General features: G+C 37.5%; 2 annotated features.

Annotated features, from left to right (window-relative positions):
* Positions 1,531 to 2,032: an enhancer, noted in NCBI's record as "NANOG-H3K4me1 hESC enhancer chr3:75899387-75899888 (GRCh37/hg19 assembly coordinates)". NCBI's record gives its function as "activates a minimal SCP1, AML or CMV promoter by ChIP-STARR-seq in naive and primed H9 embryonic stem cells {active_cell/tissue: H9 hESC(naive and primed)}" and the evidence as "EXISTENCE:reporter gene assay evidence [ECO:0000049][PMID:30033119]".
* Positions 2,033 to 2,532: an enhancer, noted in NCBI's record as "NANOG-H3K4me1 hESC enhancer chr3:75899889-75900388 (GRCh37/hg19 assembly coordinates)". NCBI's record gives its function as "activates a minimal SCP1, AML or CMV promoter by ChIP-STARR-seq in naive H9 embryonic stem cells {active_cell/tissue: H9 hESC(naive)}" and the evidence as "EXISTENCE:reporter gene assay evidence [ECO:0000049][PMID:30033119]".

A 16,212-nucleotide genomic window follows, 5' to 3' on the forward strand; every position in this document is an offset into this window, starting at 1 on the left:
ATAGTTAGTTCTTGTTGAATTGATCCCTTTACCATTATGTAATGGCCTTCTTTGTCTCTTTTGATCTTTGTTGGCTTAAAGTCTGTTTTATCTGAGACTAGGATTGCAACCCCTGCCTTTTTTTTTGTTTTCCATTTGCTTGGTAGATCTTCCTCCATCCCTTTATTTTGAGCCTATGTGTGTCTCTGCACATGAGATGGGTTTCCTGAATACAGCACACTGATGGGTCTTGACTCTTTATCCAATTTGCCAGTCTGTGCCTTTTAATTGGAGCATTTAGCCCATTTACACTTAAGGTTAGTAATATTATGTGTGAATTTGATGCTGTCATTATGATGTTAACTGGTTATTTTGCTCGTTAGTTGATGCAGTTTCTTCCTAGCCTGGATGGTCTTTACAATTTGGCATGATTTTGCAGTGGCTGGTACCAGTTGTTCCTTTCCATGTTTAGTGCTTCCTTCAGGACCTCTTTTAGGGCAGGTCTGGTGGTGACAAAATCTCTCAGCATTTGCTTGTCCGTGAAGTATTTTATTTCTCCTTCACTTCTGAAGCTTAGTTTGGCTGGATATGAAATTCTGGGTTGAAAATTCATTTCTTTAAGAATGTTGAATATTGGCCCCACTCTCTTCTGGCTTGTAGAGTTTCTGCCGAGAGATCAGCAGTTAGTCTGATGGGTTTCCCTTTGTGGGTAACCTGACCTTTCTCTCTGGCTGCCCTTAACATTTTTTCCTTCATTTCAACTTTGGTGAATATGACAATTATGTGTCTTGGAGTTGCTCTTCTCAAGGAGTATCTTTGTGGCGTTCTCTGTATTTCCTGAATTTGAATGTTGGCCTGCCTTGCTAGATTGGGGAAGTTCTCCTGGATAATATCCTGCAGAGTGTTTTCCAACTTGGTTCCATTCTCCCCATCACTTTCAGGTACACCAATTAGATGTAGGTTTGGTCTTTTCACATAGTCCCATATTTCTTGGAGGCTTTGTTCATTTCTTTTTATTCTTTTTTCTCTAAACTTCTCTTCACGCTTCATTTCATTCATTTCTTCTTCCATTGCTGATATCCCTTCTTCCAGTTGACCGCATCGGTTATGGAGGCTTGTGCATTTGTCACTTAGTTCTTGTGATGTGGTTTTCAGCTCCATCAGGTCCTTTAAGGAGTTCTCTGCATCGGTTATTCTAGTTATCCATTCATCTAATTTTTTTTTCAAAGTTTTTAACTTATTTGCCATTGGTTTGAACTTCCTCCTTTAGCTTGGAGTAGTTTGATCTTCTGAAGCCTTCCTCTCTGAGCTCATCAAAGTCATTCACCATCCAGCTTTGTTCCGTTGCTGGTGAGTAGCTGCATTTCTTTGGAGGAGGAGAGGTGCTCTGATTTTTAGAGTTTCCAGTTTTTCTCCTCTGTTTTTTCTCCATCTTTGTGGTTTTATCTAACTTTGGTCTTTGATGATGGTGACATACAGATGGGGTTTTGGTGTGGATATCCTTTCTGTTTGTTAGTTTTCCTTCTAACAGTCAGGACCCTCAGCTGCAGGTCTGTTGGAGTTTACTGGAGGTTCACTCCAGACACTGTTTGCCTGGGTATCAGCAGTGGAGGCTGCAGAACAGTGGATATTGGTGAACCACAGACGCTGCTGCCTGATTGTTCCTCTGGAAGTTTTGTCTCAGAGGAGTACCTGGCCGTGTGAGGTGTCAGTCCGCCCCTACTGGGGAGTGCCTCCCGGTTAGGCTACTCGGGGGTTAGGGACCCACTTGAGGAGGCAGTCTGCCCATTCTCAGATCTCTAGCTGCGTGCTGGGAGAACCACTACTCTCTGCAAAGCTGTCAGACAGGGACATTAAGTCTGCAGACGTTACTGCTGTCTTTTGTTTGTCTGTGCCCTGCCCCCAGAGGTGGAGCCTACAGAGGCAGGCAGGCCTCCTTGAGCTGTGGTGGGCTCCACCCAGTTCGACCTTCCTGGCCGCTTTGTTTACCTACTCAAGCCTGGGCAATGGCAGGCGCCCCTCCCCCAGCCTCGCTGCCGCCTTGCAGTTTGACCTCAGACTGCTGTGCTAGCAATGAGCAAGGCTCCATGGGTGTAGGACCCTCCGAGCCACGTGCGGGATATAATCTGTTGTGCCATTTGATAAGCCTGTTGGAAAAGCGCATTATTAGGGTGGGAGTGACACGGTTTTCTGGGTGCCATCTGTCACCCCTTTCTTTGACTAGGAAAGGGAATTCCCTGACCCCTTGTGCTTCCCAGGTGAGGCGATGTCTCGCCCTGCTTCGGCTCATGCACGGTTTGCTGCACCCACTGTCCGGCACTCCCCAGTGAGATGAACCCGGTACCTCAGTTGGAAATGCAGAAATCACCTGTCTTCTGCGTCGCTCACGCTGGGAGCTGTGGATTGGAGCTGTTCCTATTCAGCCATCTTGTCTCCACCCTCTAATTTTTAACTTTCAAAAGATTGGATGCATTCACCTTCTTCTGAATTTTAATTCCTGTTGGAAAGATTGTGAAAGCTCAAGAGGGTAATGAATCAGCTTCTGATTATATTCTGGAATCATGATTTGATCACCCATCCAAGAATGAGTATTCACTTTCCTTTACATTACACACATGCATAATACCATGCTGAGTGATGCTGGAAAAGGTGCGTCTTCAGTAATGCCTTCGTGAAATTACAGTCTCACTACACCGAGGTATTTTCGTTTTAACCCTTTCTTTCTTTTCTGCTGTGAATATGTGCCTTCTAAGAGATGAACAACTGGGAAAAACTGAAAAAGAACCTTCATCTAATTCAGTAACTAGCTTTTGTATCTTCTAAGAATTTTTGTCTCCAGAAAGCTCTGATTTTCATTCCTTTACAAGCTTTATTTCTCTCTCCTTTCGAACACCAGACTTTGCTGTGTTTGTTTTCTGTAACTTTTTTAGAGACGCCTACAATAGAAAAAAACTATGACATATTCAATACATCTGAAAATTTTGCGTTGCCATAGATAAGAATGAATTATCTGTTTATAAAGAAAAAACAATAAAAATATGAACCAAGAAAGCACAGAAGGTAGTAACCACATTTAGATGTTTATCATGGAATCATATTTATAATCCATCTGTTACAATTCCACAGAGCAAATTACAAGTAATTGTGAAGTTTCCCCTCATTTTATAGGTTTGGTCTTGTAAGGCATACAACACAAATTTTAATTACTTTTCTTTTTGGTATTTGGGTCTTAATTTGGTCAAGTGGCCACTGGGTAGATGATGGAGCCTCTTGAGACATGCAGTCTTCTTCTAGCTTTGTTGATGTAAATATTACTGTGTATTTTTCATTCATTTATTATTTTACAAGGCATGCTTCATTAAAAATATGTCAGCATCTCATTGACAAATCACTAAATTTAAAAGACACAAGAAAAAAACAATTTATTTAAAACATTCCTATGTAAAAGTAGTCACCACTCTTACTATTCTTCAAATATTCTTATTCTATTTAAACGCAAGCCTAGTTTTATCTCGAGCGTCTGACCTTGATGATATTGTACACTTTAAACTTAGAAACAATTGAACTCTATTGGAAATTTCCTACACATCAGCTTTTCTAGATGCCAAGTACCTTGTTTCAGCCACGGTGATGACAGCAAATTGGGTTCTCAGGGATTCTGGCCTCTGGCATCGTCTCAGTTGTTTATAATTGAAGTTGGCTCTGATGAGAACTCAGCTTAGATGCATGGTTGGACTTCTGGGCTTAAGACTGGCCTGCCAGGAGGTTGCATTGAGGTGTAACTAGGCAAAGAAAGAAGGAGTTTATTGCGGTACTACTCACAATAGCAAAGACTTGGAACCAACCCAAATGTCCAACAATGATAGACTGGATTAAGAAAATGTGGCACATATACACCATGGAATACTATGCAGCCATAAAAAATGATGAGTGCATGTCCTTTGCAGGGACATGGATGAAGTTGGAAACCATCATTCTCAGCAAACTATCGCAAGGACAAAAAACCAAACACAGCATGTTCTCACTCATAGGTGGGAATTGAACAATGAGAACACATGGACACAGGAAGGGGAACATCACATGCCATGGCCTGTTGTGGGGTGAGGGGCTAGGGGAGGGAAAGCATTAGGGGATATACCTAATGTAAATGACTACTTAATGGGTGCAGCACCCAACATGGCACATGTATACATATATAACAAACTTGCACGTTGTGCACAGGTACCCTAGAACTTAAAGTATAATAAAAAAAAATGAAAGAAGGAGGTTGGGCAAAATTACCAACAATCTTCAACTATGAATTTTTATGAGTAGGGGCTTCCCACACCATCAGGCACTCCGAGCTGCAGAAACAAGGGATGTTGAATTGAAAGTTTAATTTTTTAGGCTTGATAGTCAGATTAGGGAAGTTTTGGGTATACCTTTCCCACTCTAGAGCCCTCTCCCTAACTCAGGGCCAATTTGAGACATGGGCTAAATGGAAAAGAGTGCCGAGATCAATTAGAAATATCCACCATGAACACCGGAGGCAGGCATTCTGGCCAAGGGGTGCGTCTTCCCACTTTGTAATCCAGAGTGCGATTTCTTCTTGCTATCTGTCTCTCCATAAATAAGCGTTGGGCGGAGGACAAGCTGGTTACAATTGAGGATGGAACGAGATTCTAGCAGAATTGCAAAATGAACTGAGAGCCACAAAAATGTGCCTCTGTGAACCAGCAGAGACAGCTGTGGAAGGCAAAGGAAGAGGAGCCAAAAGGCCAGATAACATTCCTGCTTCCCCTACATTGTGGGAGTGAAATTGTCAGCAACCTATGTCAGTAATTAACGAGAGGCTTTTTAGAGAGTAAGACTTCTGATAGACACCTCAATAGCTGAAGTCGCTCTTCAGTGCTGCACATAACCTGTGGACAGATTTTCATCATCATTAATTCATTTATTCAACAGATATTAAATTCAAAGCATAGTTCTAAACTATGCAGTCAATTACAAAAAATAAATAATGAAGGGCATTAGCTCTGCCTCATAGGACGTTAAAACTCTAGCTGCTAAATGAGACAAATAGGGTTCCCACATCAAGTGCCTGCGCTCCTGTTATAACCTGGACTCTGCTTCCAATGGCTTCTCTTGTTTCTGTTTTGGTAAACCCATCATTTGGCTTAGTCCCTATCCTTGCCATGGTCACCCACCAGTAGGTGGACCTCCTTGACCATAACTACAGGCATAGATCTTTGATTGTTTCTTTTCAAATGTTTGCTTACTTTAGAGCTGCAGTCAAATGTTGTTTGGACCATAAGACTCTGAGGCTGTGTGTGGTTGAAACTGTCTTGAGACTCAAAGAGCTATTGAGGAAAGGATTTGGTGCCGAACTCTTGAAATTTTTCTCTGTCTCTCACACATCTGGGGCTGAATAGCTGAATATATTGTTTAATTTCTACATCGATGATAGTTTAATAGGCATTCATGCAAATCAGTTCTGCTGGGAGTTTATTATCCTACTCCAATAACAAGTAATGCATTCCTTAAATTTAATGTACATATAAATTCTACATGGTAAGTGAAGCTGTCTTTATGAATTGCTGCTATAGAATATACTAGATTGTGTAGGTTTTAGTACAATCTAGGTAATTATCAAGCCATTGTAATATTTTCAAGAAAGTGATCCTTTCACTTCAGTTTATGGAACTTGGAAATTTTTCAGTTGCCACCCACTAGTTAGATCATAAACTGAATTCTATATATCTGAATTTATTTTTCTATTTATAAATTTATCTGGATGCTTTCTCAAAGGTTTCCCAGATTAAAAACCTATGGCTTTGTAAAATTAAAAGAGAAGTAATAAGAATTGTGTTAAAAAACAGAATCAGACCAAGCATGGTGGCTTATGCCTGTAATGCCAGCACTTAGGGAGGCTGAGGCGGAAGGATCATTTGAGGTCAGGAGTTCGAGACCAGCCTGGCCAACATGGCAAAACCCCACCTGTAATAAAAAAAGATACACAAATTAGCTGGGCGACGTGGTGAATGCCCTTAGTCCTAGCTACTCAGGAGGCTAAGGCAGGAGAATCGCTTGAACCCAGGAGGCTGAGGTTGCAGTGAGCCAAGATAGTGCCACTGCACTCCAGCCTGGGTGACAGAGTGAGATCCTGTCTTTAAAAAAAAAAGAAAAAAAGAAAAGGAAAAGAAAGAAAACCAGAATCACACAATGAGAGAGGTTGTATAGCCCTTTTAATTATCCATAATGTATGTATTTCTTTTTCTGTGTAACAGTTTATCGGCATGAAAATTTTCTTTTTCTGTGTAATAGTTTATCAGCATGAAAAAAAGAGTCACTGAACACTGATAATTTTCTCTCTCTTTTTTTTTTCCTTTTTTTGGAGATGAAGTCTCGCTCTGTTGCCCAGGCTGGAGTGCAATGGCAACATCTCTGTTCACTGTAACCTTCACATCCTGGGTTCAGGCGATTCTCCTGCCTCAGCCTCCCAAGTAGCTGGGATTACAGGTGCATCCCACCATGCCTGGATAAGTTTTTGTATTTTCAGTAGAGACGGGGTTTCATCATGTTGGCCAGGCTGGTCTCAAACTCCCGACCTCAAATGATCTGCCCGCCTTAGCCTCCCAAAGTGCTGGTAATGATTTTCATTTAATGGTGTTCTACAAAGTGAGTTTAGGCAGTGAAAGGGCACATGTCCTCTATAATTTACCAGAAAGTAGTACCGGTCACCAGCGTTGAAGCATACTCCTAACCCTAGAAAATTTATTCAGCTGCCAGAATTAATCTCAGATTTTGAGACTGGAGCAAAGACTAATTTGGTATGTGTTCATTCAGATTAGTAAATCTCCATGGTGTTTGAACTGTATAATATCAAATCTAAAATAAGCCAAGAGAGTTGGACAATTTCTCATCTCTCAGAAAAAAATGCATCATTTTTAAGAGATTTAAGATTGAATTTAAAATCCAACTGCCTATTCCAGTGTATGTTTCTCCAGAATAAGGCCAAGCCCTACAAATTCCGGGATAGTGTCCTCCAAGTTGTGTTTTAGGTGATAATTGATAAATCTATAGTTTAGATACGTATGGGATTCCATATAACTCTAGCTCCTGCCTTTGCGAGTAAAAATTGGCAGTAATCATGGTCTTAATGGAGGCACGTGGCTAATTGGAATTTTCAGTACCAAAAGTCTTCTTGTTACTAGGTTATCAGGGTACCCTATAATAGTATCCATAACTCATTGCTCACTTGTCTATTTTGACTTCTTTTTTAAAAAGACAATTTTAAACTTAGAGGTTTTGTACCTCAATTTACATATGCAGCACATTTATAAAATAATCATGCCTTTGCATATTTTTCCTTTGATATCTTAACTATATATCCAAGCCATTTATGTTGTTTAATTGCCACAAATATCGCACTGAAATAGAGTAATAGGTACAAAAATGCCTGGTATAACATTTATTCTTGTTCTTGAAAGTTATTTTAATCCCTATGTTTAATATATTCCTAGACAATTATATGTAACTATAATTATTTCTGCTAGGTAGAAATATTTTTGTGGTCAACATTTGTGAAATGCCTTGTAAATAAAAATATGCTTGAGTAGAAATAGTATTTTGCAAATATAGCCCTAAATAGAGCTACTGATTTTACCAAGAATTAAAGACTCCAAACCCTGTCTTTTTCTTTCAACTTTGGTTTATAGGAACATCTAATTACAATGAGCCAAAAGCCTATCTGATCATTAATGAGGTAAATTTGACACTTCCAAATGATGCAGCTAATTTGTAATAGGTTTTTGAAGTGCAAATTACACGTTTCTGTTTAAATAATGACACTAAAATATGGACACTATCTATTCACACTCTATATATACAACTAACTCCAACTTGTCTCTAGAAGAAAGGTTTAATTTTTCAGGTCTCATCCACAAAATGAAGTGTTAATAAGCTGTATCTTTATTCTCACTTTTAAGTAATTTCTTCTTAACCATTGTATAACACTACTACAGTTTGTATGAGGATAAAATAACTAATGGTGAGAAATCCAGTTCTTTAAAGAAATCATTTTACCTTCAATCACTTTTAGGATATCTATGCTTTTAGAGTAAGGATGAAAATTTATAAACATTTGTTAAATTATGCAACTGTTTTCGAAGATGTTTCAAAATTACATTTTCCTTATCGTACAACTGGTTTTCACATATTCACAAATGAGACACGCGAGAGTTATTAATGCAAAAGCATAGCATATCAACAAAGTGTATAATGTAAATAGTTTAGTTAGGAAAGAATGTAATGAGTGAATTATCAAAGCTATTTTATTGGTTCCTAGATTTACCATAGAAGAAAATAACGCACCCTTATAAAAATTTCTCAGCGCTGAGTCCATTTAAGGTCTATTTTGTATGCTATAAGTTCTAAAAAATGTTATTGCTGGTAAAAATAGAGTGCCTATCTAAAATTGTCTTTTTAAAGGTTCTCTCTTATTCTTCTTCCCTTCCTATGTGTGCACAGAATACTATCATTGTCTTTATTGGAACACTGTCTGTCTTTCTCAGAGGGTGTACAGTTGTAGAAGGGAGAAAATATTTGTTAATTTTGCTTCGTATAAGATAAGGTCTCAATGGTTGAAGGTCAGTTAACAAACTTTTTGTTTGTCTTCATACTATTATTTTAGAATTACCAACTGGCTTCTATTTAGATTTTGAATAATGAAAGAAAAGAACTAGCATTTGTTAGAACTTACTGGGTTCCAAAAACTTTATTGATACCATTTCTTCTCATTATCACATTCATTCTTTCAATTAGTAGTTTTTTTTCCGTCTTAAGAAGGTGGGACCAGAGGCTTTGTAATGTCCACTAACCCACTGTGGATTTCATGGCTTGCAAGAGGAAGAAAGCATGGTGGAACTCAGGTTTGTCTGATTCCAAATTCACATGCTTTCATGTCTCCATGAAAAATAGAAAAGATAAACTGGGCTCTATTATAACAAGAGAAACACAATTTCCCATCAGATAAATGAATAATTCTTAAACCTCAAAAATAAAACACGTAGCAAAAGCTCAATTCAAGAGTAGACATAAAGGTTGTGACATGGGTAGCAGGGACATATGTCTAGTGACATAGATTTGCTATGCATATCTGACCAAATATCTCCCTCATGATTTTCAAATCAGATGCACAACTGCATTTAATGAGTTTCATGAATCATTAATATCAGGCTCTGAAAACAGGATCATTAAAAAGATTAAGATTTTCAACAACAAAGATCTTATCTAAATAGTAAGGAAATTATATTAGAGGGCTCCATTCCCTGGGCAGACTAGTTAACAATTCAACTTGTTCAAAGCTATAAAATATGGCAACTTAAAAAATTATGAAAGTTTTTCTAACTTTGTGCTTAAGGCCATTCTTCCTCTTGAGAATAAAAAGGGCAGATTTTCTGTCGAAGCATTTTGCTATTGCTTTTCAATTTCCATTTATGGGAAATAGATAAAATAACAATTTTTTAGTTATAAATTTAAAGTCAAAATGGAGATAATTAAGTAATTATCTCCATTAATTAAGTAAAGATTAATGTCTTTAAAAATAGCATTTACTAAATTCTAATCTCATCTTGATCTCTCAGTTCTACGAACACCTTTGATCTAATGATAATGTTTTCCAACAGAATTGTTTCTACTCAAACTTCTGAGATCAAATTTGTGGATTTAGTCTCACCCCAACCAATTCTTCAACTCTCAGGACACCAACTGGTGTCCTACAATTCAATTCAATCCTGAGACTATCTATCTGGAGATAGCATCAGATCCCACAAGTTCAGGGTTCAGACCCACAAGACTGCCCCCCCTCCCCCATCAACCATTACAGATGAGTTGTGGGCCTCCCACACTCCTGACCAACTGGCTATAAATTAGGACCTCCATGGATTCCTTCCCCAGGTTCTATAATTTGCTAAGATGGCTCACAGAACCCACAAAAGCACTTTGCTTACATTTACTGTCTGATACAAATCAGGAATAGTCAAATAGAAGACACACATCGGGCCAGGTATGGTGAAAAGGGACACAAAGCTGCCATATGCCTTCTCGGTATATCATTGTGTCACCCTCCCAGCACCTCAGAGGTGATGGAGGAGAGGGCTGACAGTTTCAACCATCTAGTTATGCCTTCATCTTTCTGGTGTCCAGCACCCACCCTGAAGCTATACGGGTCTGTAGCCACCAGTCATGTCATGTCAATAGCATAAACTCAGGTATGGCTAAAAGGGACTTATGACTAGTAAAGGATGGTCCTCTCATCTCTATCAGGAAATTTCAAGTTTTAGGAACTCTGTACCATGAACTGGGGAGGAAGACCAAATAGGACATACCCTAGACCAGTTGTGCTAACTACTGTGTGCCTCAAAATTGCCTACAGTTGTGTTAAAATAAGAGATTGCTGAGGCCTGCTATTGGAATTTCAGATTTGGTAGATCTGGGGGTGTAACCTGAGAATATGCAGTTCTAGTAAGTTCCCAGGTGATGCTGATGCTGCTAGCACAGGGACCACACTTACAGAAGGACTGAGTGAAGCATCGTCATTACTTATAACAGCAACTTCTCTCTAGTCACAATTTCATTTATCCCATTCTCTGAGCTCCTCCTATAATCATTCCCATTCATACCCTGACATAAAATCTTTCAATCTCTCTGAGACCTCCAAACTATTATTTTATCATATTCACAATGACCCTTACCTCCTTGATGTACTCTGTTGCCTGTTCTCCTGCCTAAATTCCACGGCCAACCATTCCCAGGAAACTTCAACTTTCTTGTTTCTCTTTCACTTTGCTGAATATAACCAGGAAAATAACCCTGGTTAGATCCAAATTTCCACCAAATCCCCACATATATTTGAGCAACTAGCTATATGGAGCAAATTGAAAAATATCCCACTTGAAACTGAGAATCTCAGTGCCGCCTATCAATCAATCATACTACGTATGTTCCCATCTATTCACTCACTAATTTACCTAGTTTTGTATCTTATCCTGTCTCTAATCCCTAACACTTCCCCAGAAATCCTCAATGTCTTTTTGGTTGTGCTTCCCTGAGAACATTGAATCACCCAAAGACAACTTCCACAGACTCCTGAAACCATTTAAACTCACTTTCCCATGTCTACACCCACATACTCTCCCTTTTCACCTATTATTGTCATGAACTAACTGGCCCCTGTCTGTATATTGTCTGATGATGATTTGTATATTACAGATGAAGAAAATAAGAATAGGGTTAGAGCTACTTTCTCATTATAGCATAGCTTAGAATCAAATCCATGCAGTCCACCACTGAAACTGGGGTTCCAAGTCAGTGTATTTGGAGAAGGAGAGCTAGTAGAAAAACAAGGATGAAAAGATCCAGGATGAAGCTTCTGATGGAAGAAAAGGACATTTTTACTATTATGAACCCCTTGAAGTAGACCTTTAGCATTCTCATCTGGACAAATATCCATTCATCCACTCCAGTGAGCTGATTAAGTTTTAGGATTTTAAGGGTCAATGAAAAATTATTCCTCATTCAGCAATTAAAGAAGGATTAATATGAATATTATCTTGGAGAAGTTTAATTTAAAACATATTTCATTGATTTTTGGCAATTGTCTTCTATCAGATCATTACCAATCCATATGAGTTGGGAGGAAGGGAGAAAACCCAAAACTTAATCAGATGCCTGAAGTTAGGGAACATTTTATAACCAACCCAGGGGGAAAAAAAGGCTCAAAAGGGGAAAGATGAGGACAGAAAATACATTTCAAAGATTTTAACTTTTTGACAAAATGTCAATTCTGTACAAGAAAAACTGATGATTGTGTGAATATAACTTTGTCATTTACATCTGCCAATGTGTTCAGAAATATATAACCTATAAGTTTTTTTAATAGTAGTTTGTTAACACAAAATTTATTCATCAAAGTATCTAAAACATTCTAAAAATACTAAAAATTTTCAATTTAAATATTAAGCTAAACAGCTCTGTATATATAAATAAGCTCAAACAAATGTGCATGCTCCCCAACAATAACACTGCTACAGATGTTGACTGGTGGTTTTGGTTTCATTTCATTTTATAATGGCAAATCTGGTTAAAACCCAGATTCTGAGCTGGGCGCAGTAGCTCACGCCTGTGATCCCAGCACTTTGGGAGGCCGAGGCAGGCAAATCACAAGGTCCACAGATCGGGACCATCCTGGCCAACATGGTGAAACCCCATCTCCACTAAAAAAACATACAAAAGTTAGCTGGGTGTGGTGGCACGTGCCTGTAGTCCCAGCTACTCGGGAGGCTGAGGCAGGAGAATCGCTTGGACCCGGGAGGCGGAGGTTGCAGTGAGCCCAGATTGTGCACTGTACTCCAGCCTGGTGACAGAGAGAGACTCCGTCTGAAAACAAAACAAAACAAAACCCCAGATTCTGAACTGAATCTCAGAATAAGGATCTCAAAGAGGTCAATATGTATGTAATCTATTCTTAAAGAAAATTTTTCTCCAGTTGTTTATTGAAATATCACACAGGCTCTGACTTTGTTTATACCCTTAAAAAGTATCTAGATTTATGTGTAGCTTTTGTAAAGTGAAAGCTCAGAATGTCTACTCTGTTCTGGTACCACTTTAGCTTAATTGCTGGAAAATATTTAATAAAAATGAATTGGTCAACAAATGGAAAATTTGAACTTTGCATACTAAATTTTTACTTCATATTATCAACTCTTGAAAAATAAGTGTGTATATTAGAAATGACACTCATTTGACTATACCATAATAGATTTCAGACTTTTTATCTTTACAGAATTTCTCCATCCTTTGAATTATGTTAGCGGGCTTTAGTTGCCCAGTATTGGTGATCCGCCTCCACTAATTCACAGCTCTATTGTATTACCCCTGGGGATGCATTTCCATAGTTCTGCCTTGTCATGAGTGTCATGTTTTTCTTCTGTTTTGTTGACTGCCATTCAAATATTTTTGGCTTTATCAGAGATTTTCACTTTATTGTTTGTCACCTCCTCATTTTTTTAGCCTCTCATAATTTACTGTGTTATATCTGCCTGGGCTTTTGGTTCCTTTACAGATTTGTTTCATTTTATTTTTAGCTTATGATACTTCTAAAGTCTGTACCCTTTTAATTTTCACTTGCTTCATCATCACATTCTTGTGTTTTGTTTTCATTTCAAAATACCAGAAAATAAAATGTCTCAGCAGTTTGGTGAGTGGAATAGTTCATTTATAATCCAAAAAAAACCCATACTTTTTGTGAGCTATCTGCTTATAAGTAAAAATTTTATATATAAATTCTTGAAAAAAAATCTTAAATTTCTGGGGGATTGAATGAGATTTTAAAAATCATTCTATACAACAACAGGTGCAAAATTTGTATTCCTCTACTCAAGAGAAATAATTAATGAACATTTGTTATTAGTTTACTAACATCTAAATGTTAATGTATTCAATTACACATTATTAAAACACAATTAAGCTTAAGAGGTGGAAAAGTATAAAACAAACAAGTGTATAATTTACCTTTATTCATATGAAATATCTTTTTCTCTCCTGAAAATAAAGATGAGCCAGTGGTGTGCTGGGGCGGGAGGGGGTGTGTTGGAGGGAGAAAAGCCATAATTTGTACAACTTGCCCATTTCCATGTTTTAAATACTCCCACCCTGGCCAATTTTAAGCTACCAGCAATTTGATAACCAGTTCACAACATTTTTGAAAATTTAATAATCAGCTCTCAAAAGCTGGTACAGGCCAGGATAAGCCAGCTTCAGCACAAAACTGAAAATGATTATTAATCTTTACTGGCTCCAGATATCTTTTAACATATATTGAAATCTATGACCCTTAAAAAGAAAACATATATACAGATTTTGACAAAACTTTGCAGTTCCACTCATGGATCCCTGTATAAGAATCCCCTTTCTATGTGTGTTTGTAATTTAAAGAGTTCAGACTTTATGATTCACAGGTGACAACTAATGATTTAACCTCAACACTTGGGCTTTTATAATTTGGGAGTCCGGTGTTTAACTGCTGGTAGCTGCTTCTTCTCAGAGAAACTTAGGAGCTAAGACCAGGGAAATGTCCCTTCGTCTGCAACACACCTCTTCTTTCTGAACATATTGTATAAGAAGCTAACTTTGTCCAAAGTTTATATGCCTTTTGCATTTTCAGTTACAAGCTATTTTCTTTTGGAACTGTAGGACTGGGAGAACTTTCCCTCTACCCTCTGAAGGTATGATAACTGAGTCTATGAAATAAATGGATAACAGGCATGTCAAAAGAAGAAAAGGTGTACACATTTATTACATGCATGGGGGAATCACAGGAAAGAAAAGTTGATGCAAAAACAAAACAAAACAAAACAAAACGCCACCAAGAAAAAACCCAGTGAGATTTAGGAGCTTATAGGGAAGGCAGGAGGGAGAATGTAGAAAACTTAGGGGAGAGCAAATGACTTTTGGGAAAGATGACCAGACCCTTAGCAGAATAGATGATAGTTTGTGACAGTCTGTCTTGGTGTGGTATGGACTCTTAGTCTTCTCTCCTGTGATAGGAGGAGTCAATTTTCCCTGGTTAATGAAACTCCTAGGAAGGAGATGAATGTCTTTGTGCTGACAAGACAATATCTTGAAGCTTTGTTTTCCATTTCAGTTCTAAATCTGCAGTGTATCAAAATCTCCTCATTATGCTTTGGATATTATGGTAGATAAATGGTATCTTCACAAAGATACATTCATTCTGGTACTGAAAGTTCCTTTTGGAGGGTCTCTCTTGAGGAAGGTAAAGGGAGTGCAGAGAAAGCATGTCCCGCATTTGTTGTTTTTCAAATATTTTCAGTTCGATGTAATCAGTACGCCAAAGCAATCCACTTAGGGCTGGCATTTCCTGAACACCTTCAGAACTCTTTTGGATCCCATGTTATTTCTATCAGATCATGTGATTTAAGAACAACTTTTACTTGCCACTTACATATATATTGAAAAGGCAAACTTTCCTTTCATAGTTTGCTAATTTTGGCAAAGTACATTAACAAAAGTTAAATTAAGTGAGTAAGTGAAATTTTCTTTTCTATTGTTTTGAAAACAATTCTAGAAACTGTCCTTGTAAGAACAGCAAAAAGAGAAAAAGGTAATTCTCAACTGTTGCTTCAACCATTCTTTGCTTAACAATGTATCTAATTAAAAGGCAGAACTCTCTATTTCAGGTTTATATGTATCAATTGCTTGATTAGAAAGTAAATTATCTACCCCATATAATCTGGTGTCAAAAAACTTATAATAAAATTACTTTGATTTTATTGCTGATAAGTTTGTGAATTTAAATCTCAACTTTCATGAATTTATTTGCTTTGTGCTGACAAGACAGTATCCTGAAGTTTTGTTTTCCAACTCAGTTCTAAATCTGCAGTGTATCAAAATCTCCTTATTATGCTTTGCATGTTATGGTACGTAAATGGTATCTTCACAAAGATACATTCATTCTGGTATTGAAAGTGCCTACTTAAAATTCTGCACGAACAGTTTTATTGAAAAAATATGTAGACAAGCCATTAATTATACACAGTGACTTGGAACAAATTCTTATAAGAAGCATAGCATGTCTTCCATTAAATGTATACATTTTATAAGAAGTTACTGAAAGTCTTCCTGAGGTTAAACAATAAATCTTTTAAATTTAACCACTGTGTTCCCTCAAAGGTAATTTTTTCTTTATGACACTCACTTAGGGCATACAGTCAGTCTCAGCCTACTTTAAACAACTAGGCAGTATTTTTAGTGCATTTTTCTGTTTGTTAAAAAGCTAGTTGTTGAGAATAAGTTGCTCAATTATCTTCCTCAATTACTTTTTGTTTTGTTTTGTAATTATTATCCTATTTTGGTTTTCCTTTAGAATTGTGAAATGTCTTGAATCAGAAATTGCAGAGAATATATAAATGAGTAAGCATGCACTCTGCAATCAAACTAGATCTCGAAACTGTTTTGTTGTAGTTTATACCTTGAATTCGAAAAGCCATTTTATACAAGGCACTTGAAAAATTTTCAAGCTCATATATTTCATAATAGTACAGAATTTATTATTCTTTTATTTGCAAGGAGATAGACCAGATATCACTTCATTTCTTACAGTGTTGACTTTGATATTCTAAACTTGTCAGTTTATACAGATTAATGAAGACTCCATACATGTAAAATTCACTATAA

Source organism: Homo sapiens, chromosome 3 (assembly GCF_000001405.40).
Source record: "Homo sapiens chromosome 3, GRCh38.p14 Primary Assembly".
In the NCBI taxonomy this organism is placed as follows: Eukaryota; Metazoa; Chordata; class Mammalia; order Primates; family Hominidae; genus Homo; species Homo sapiens.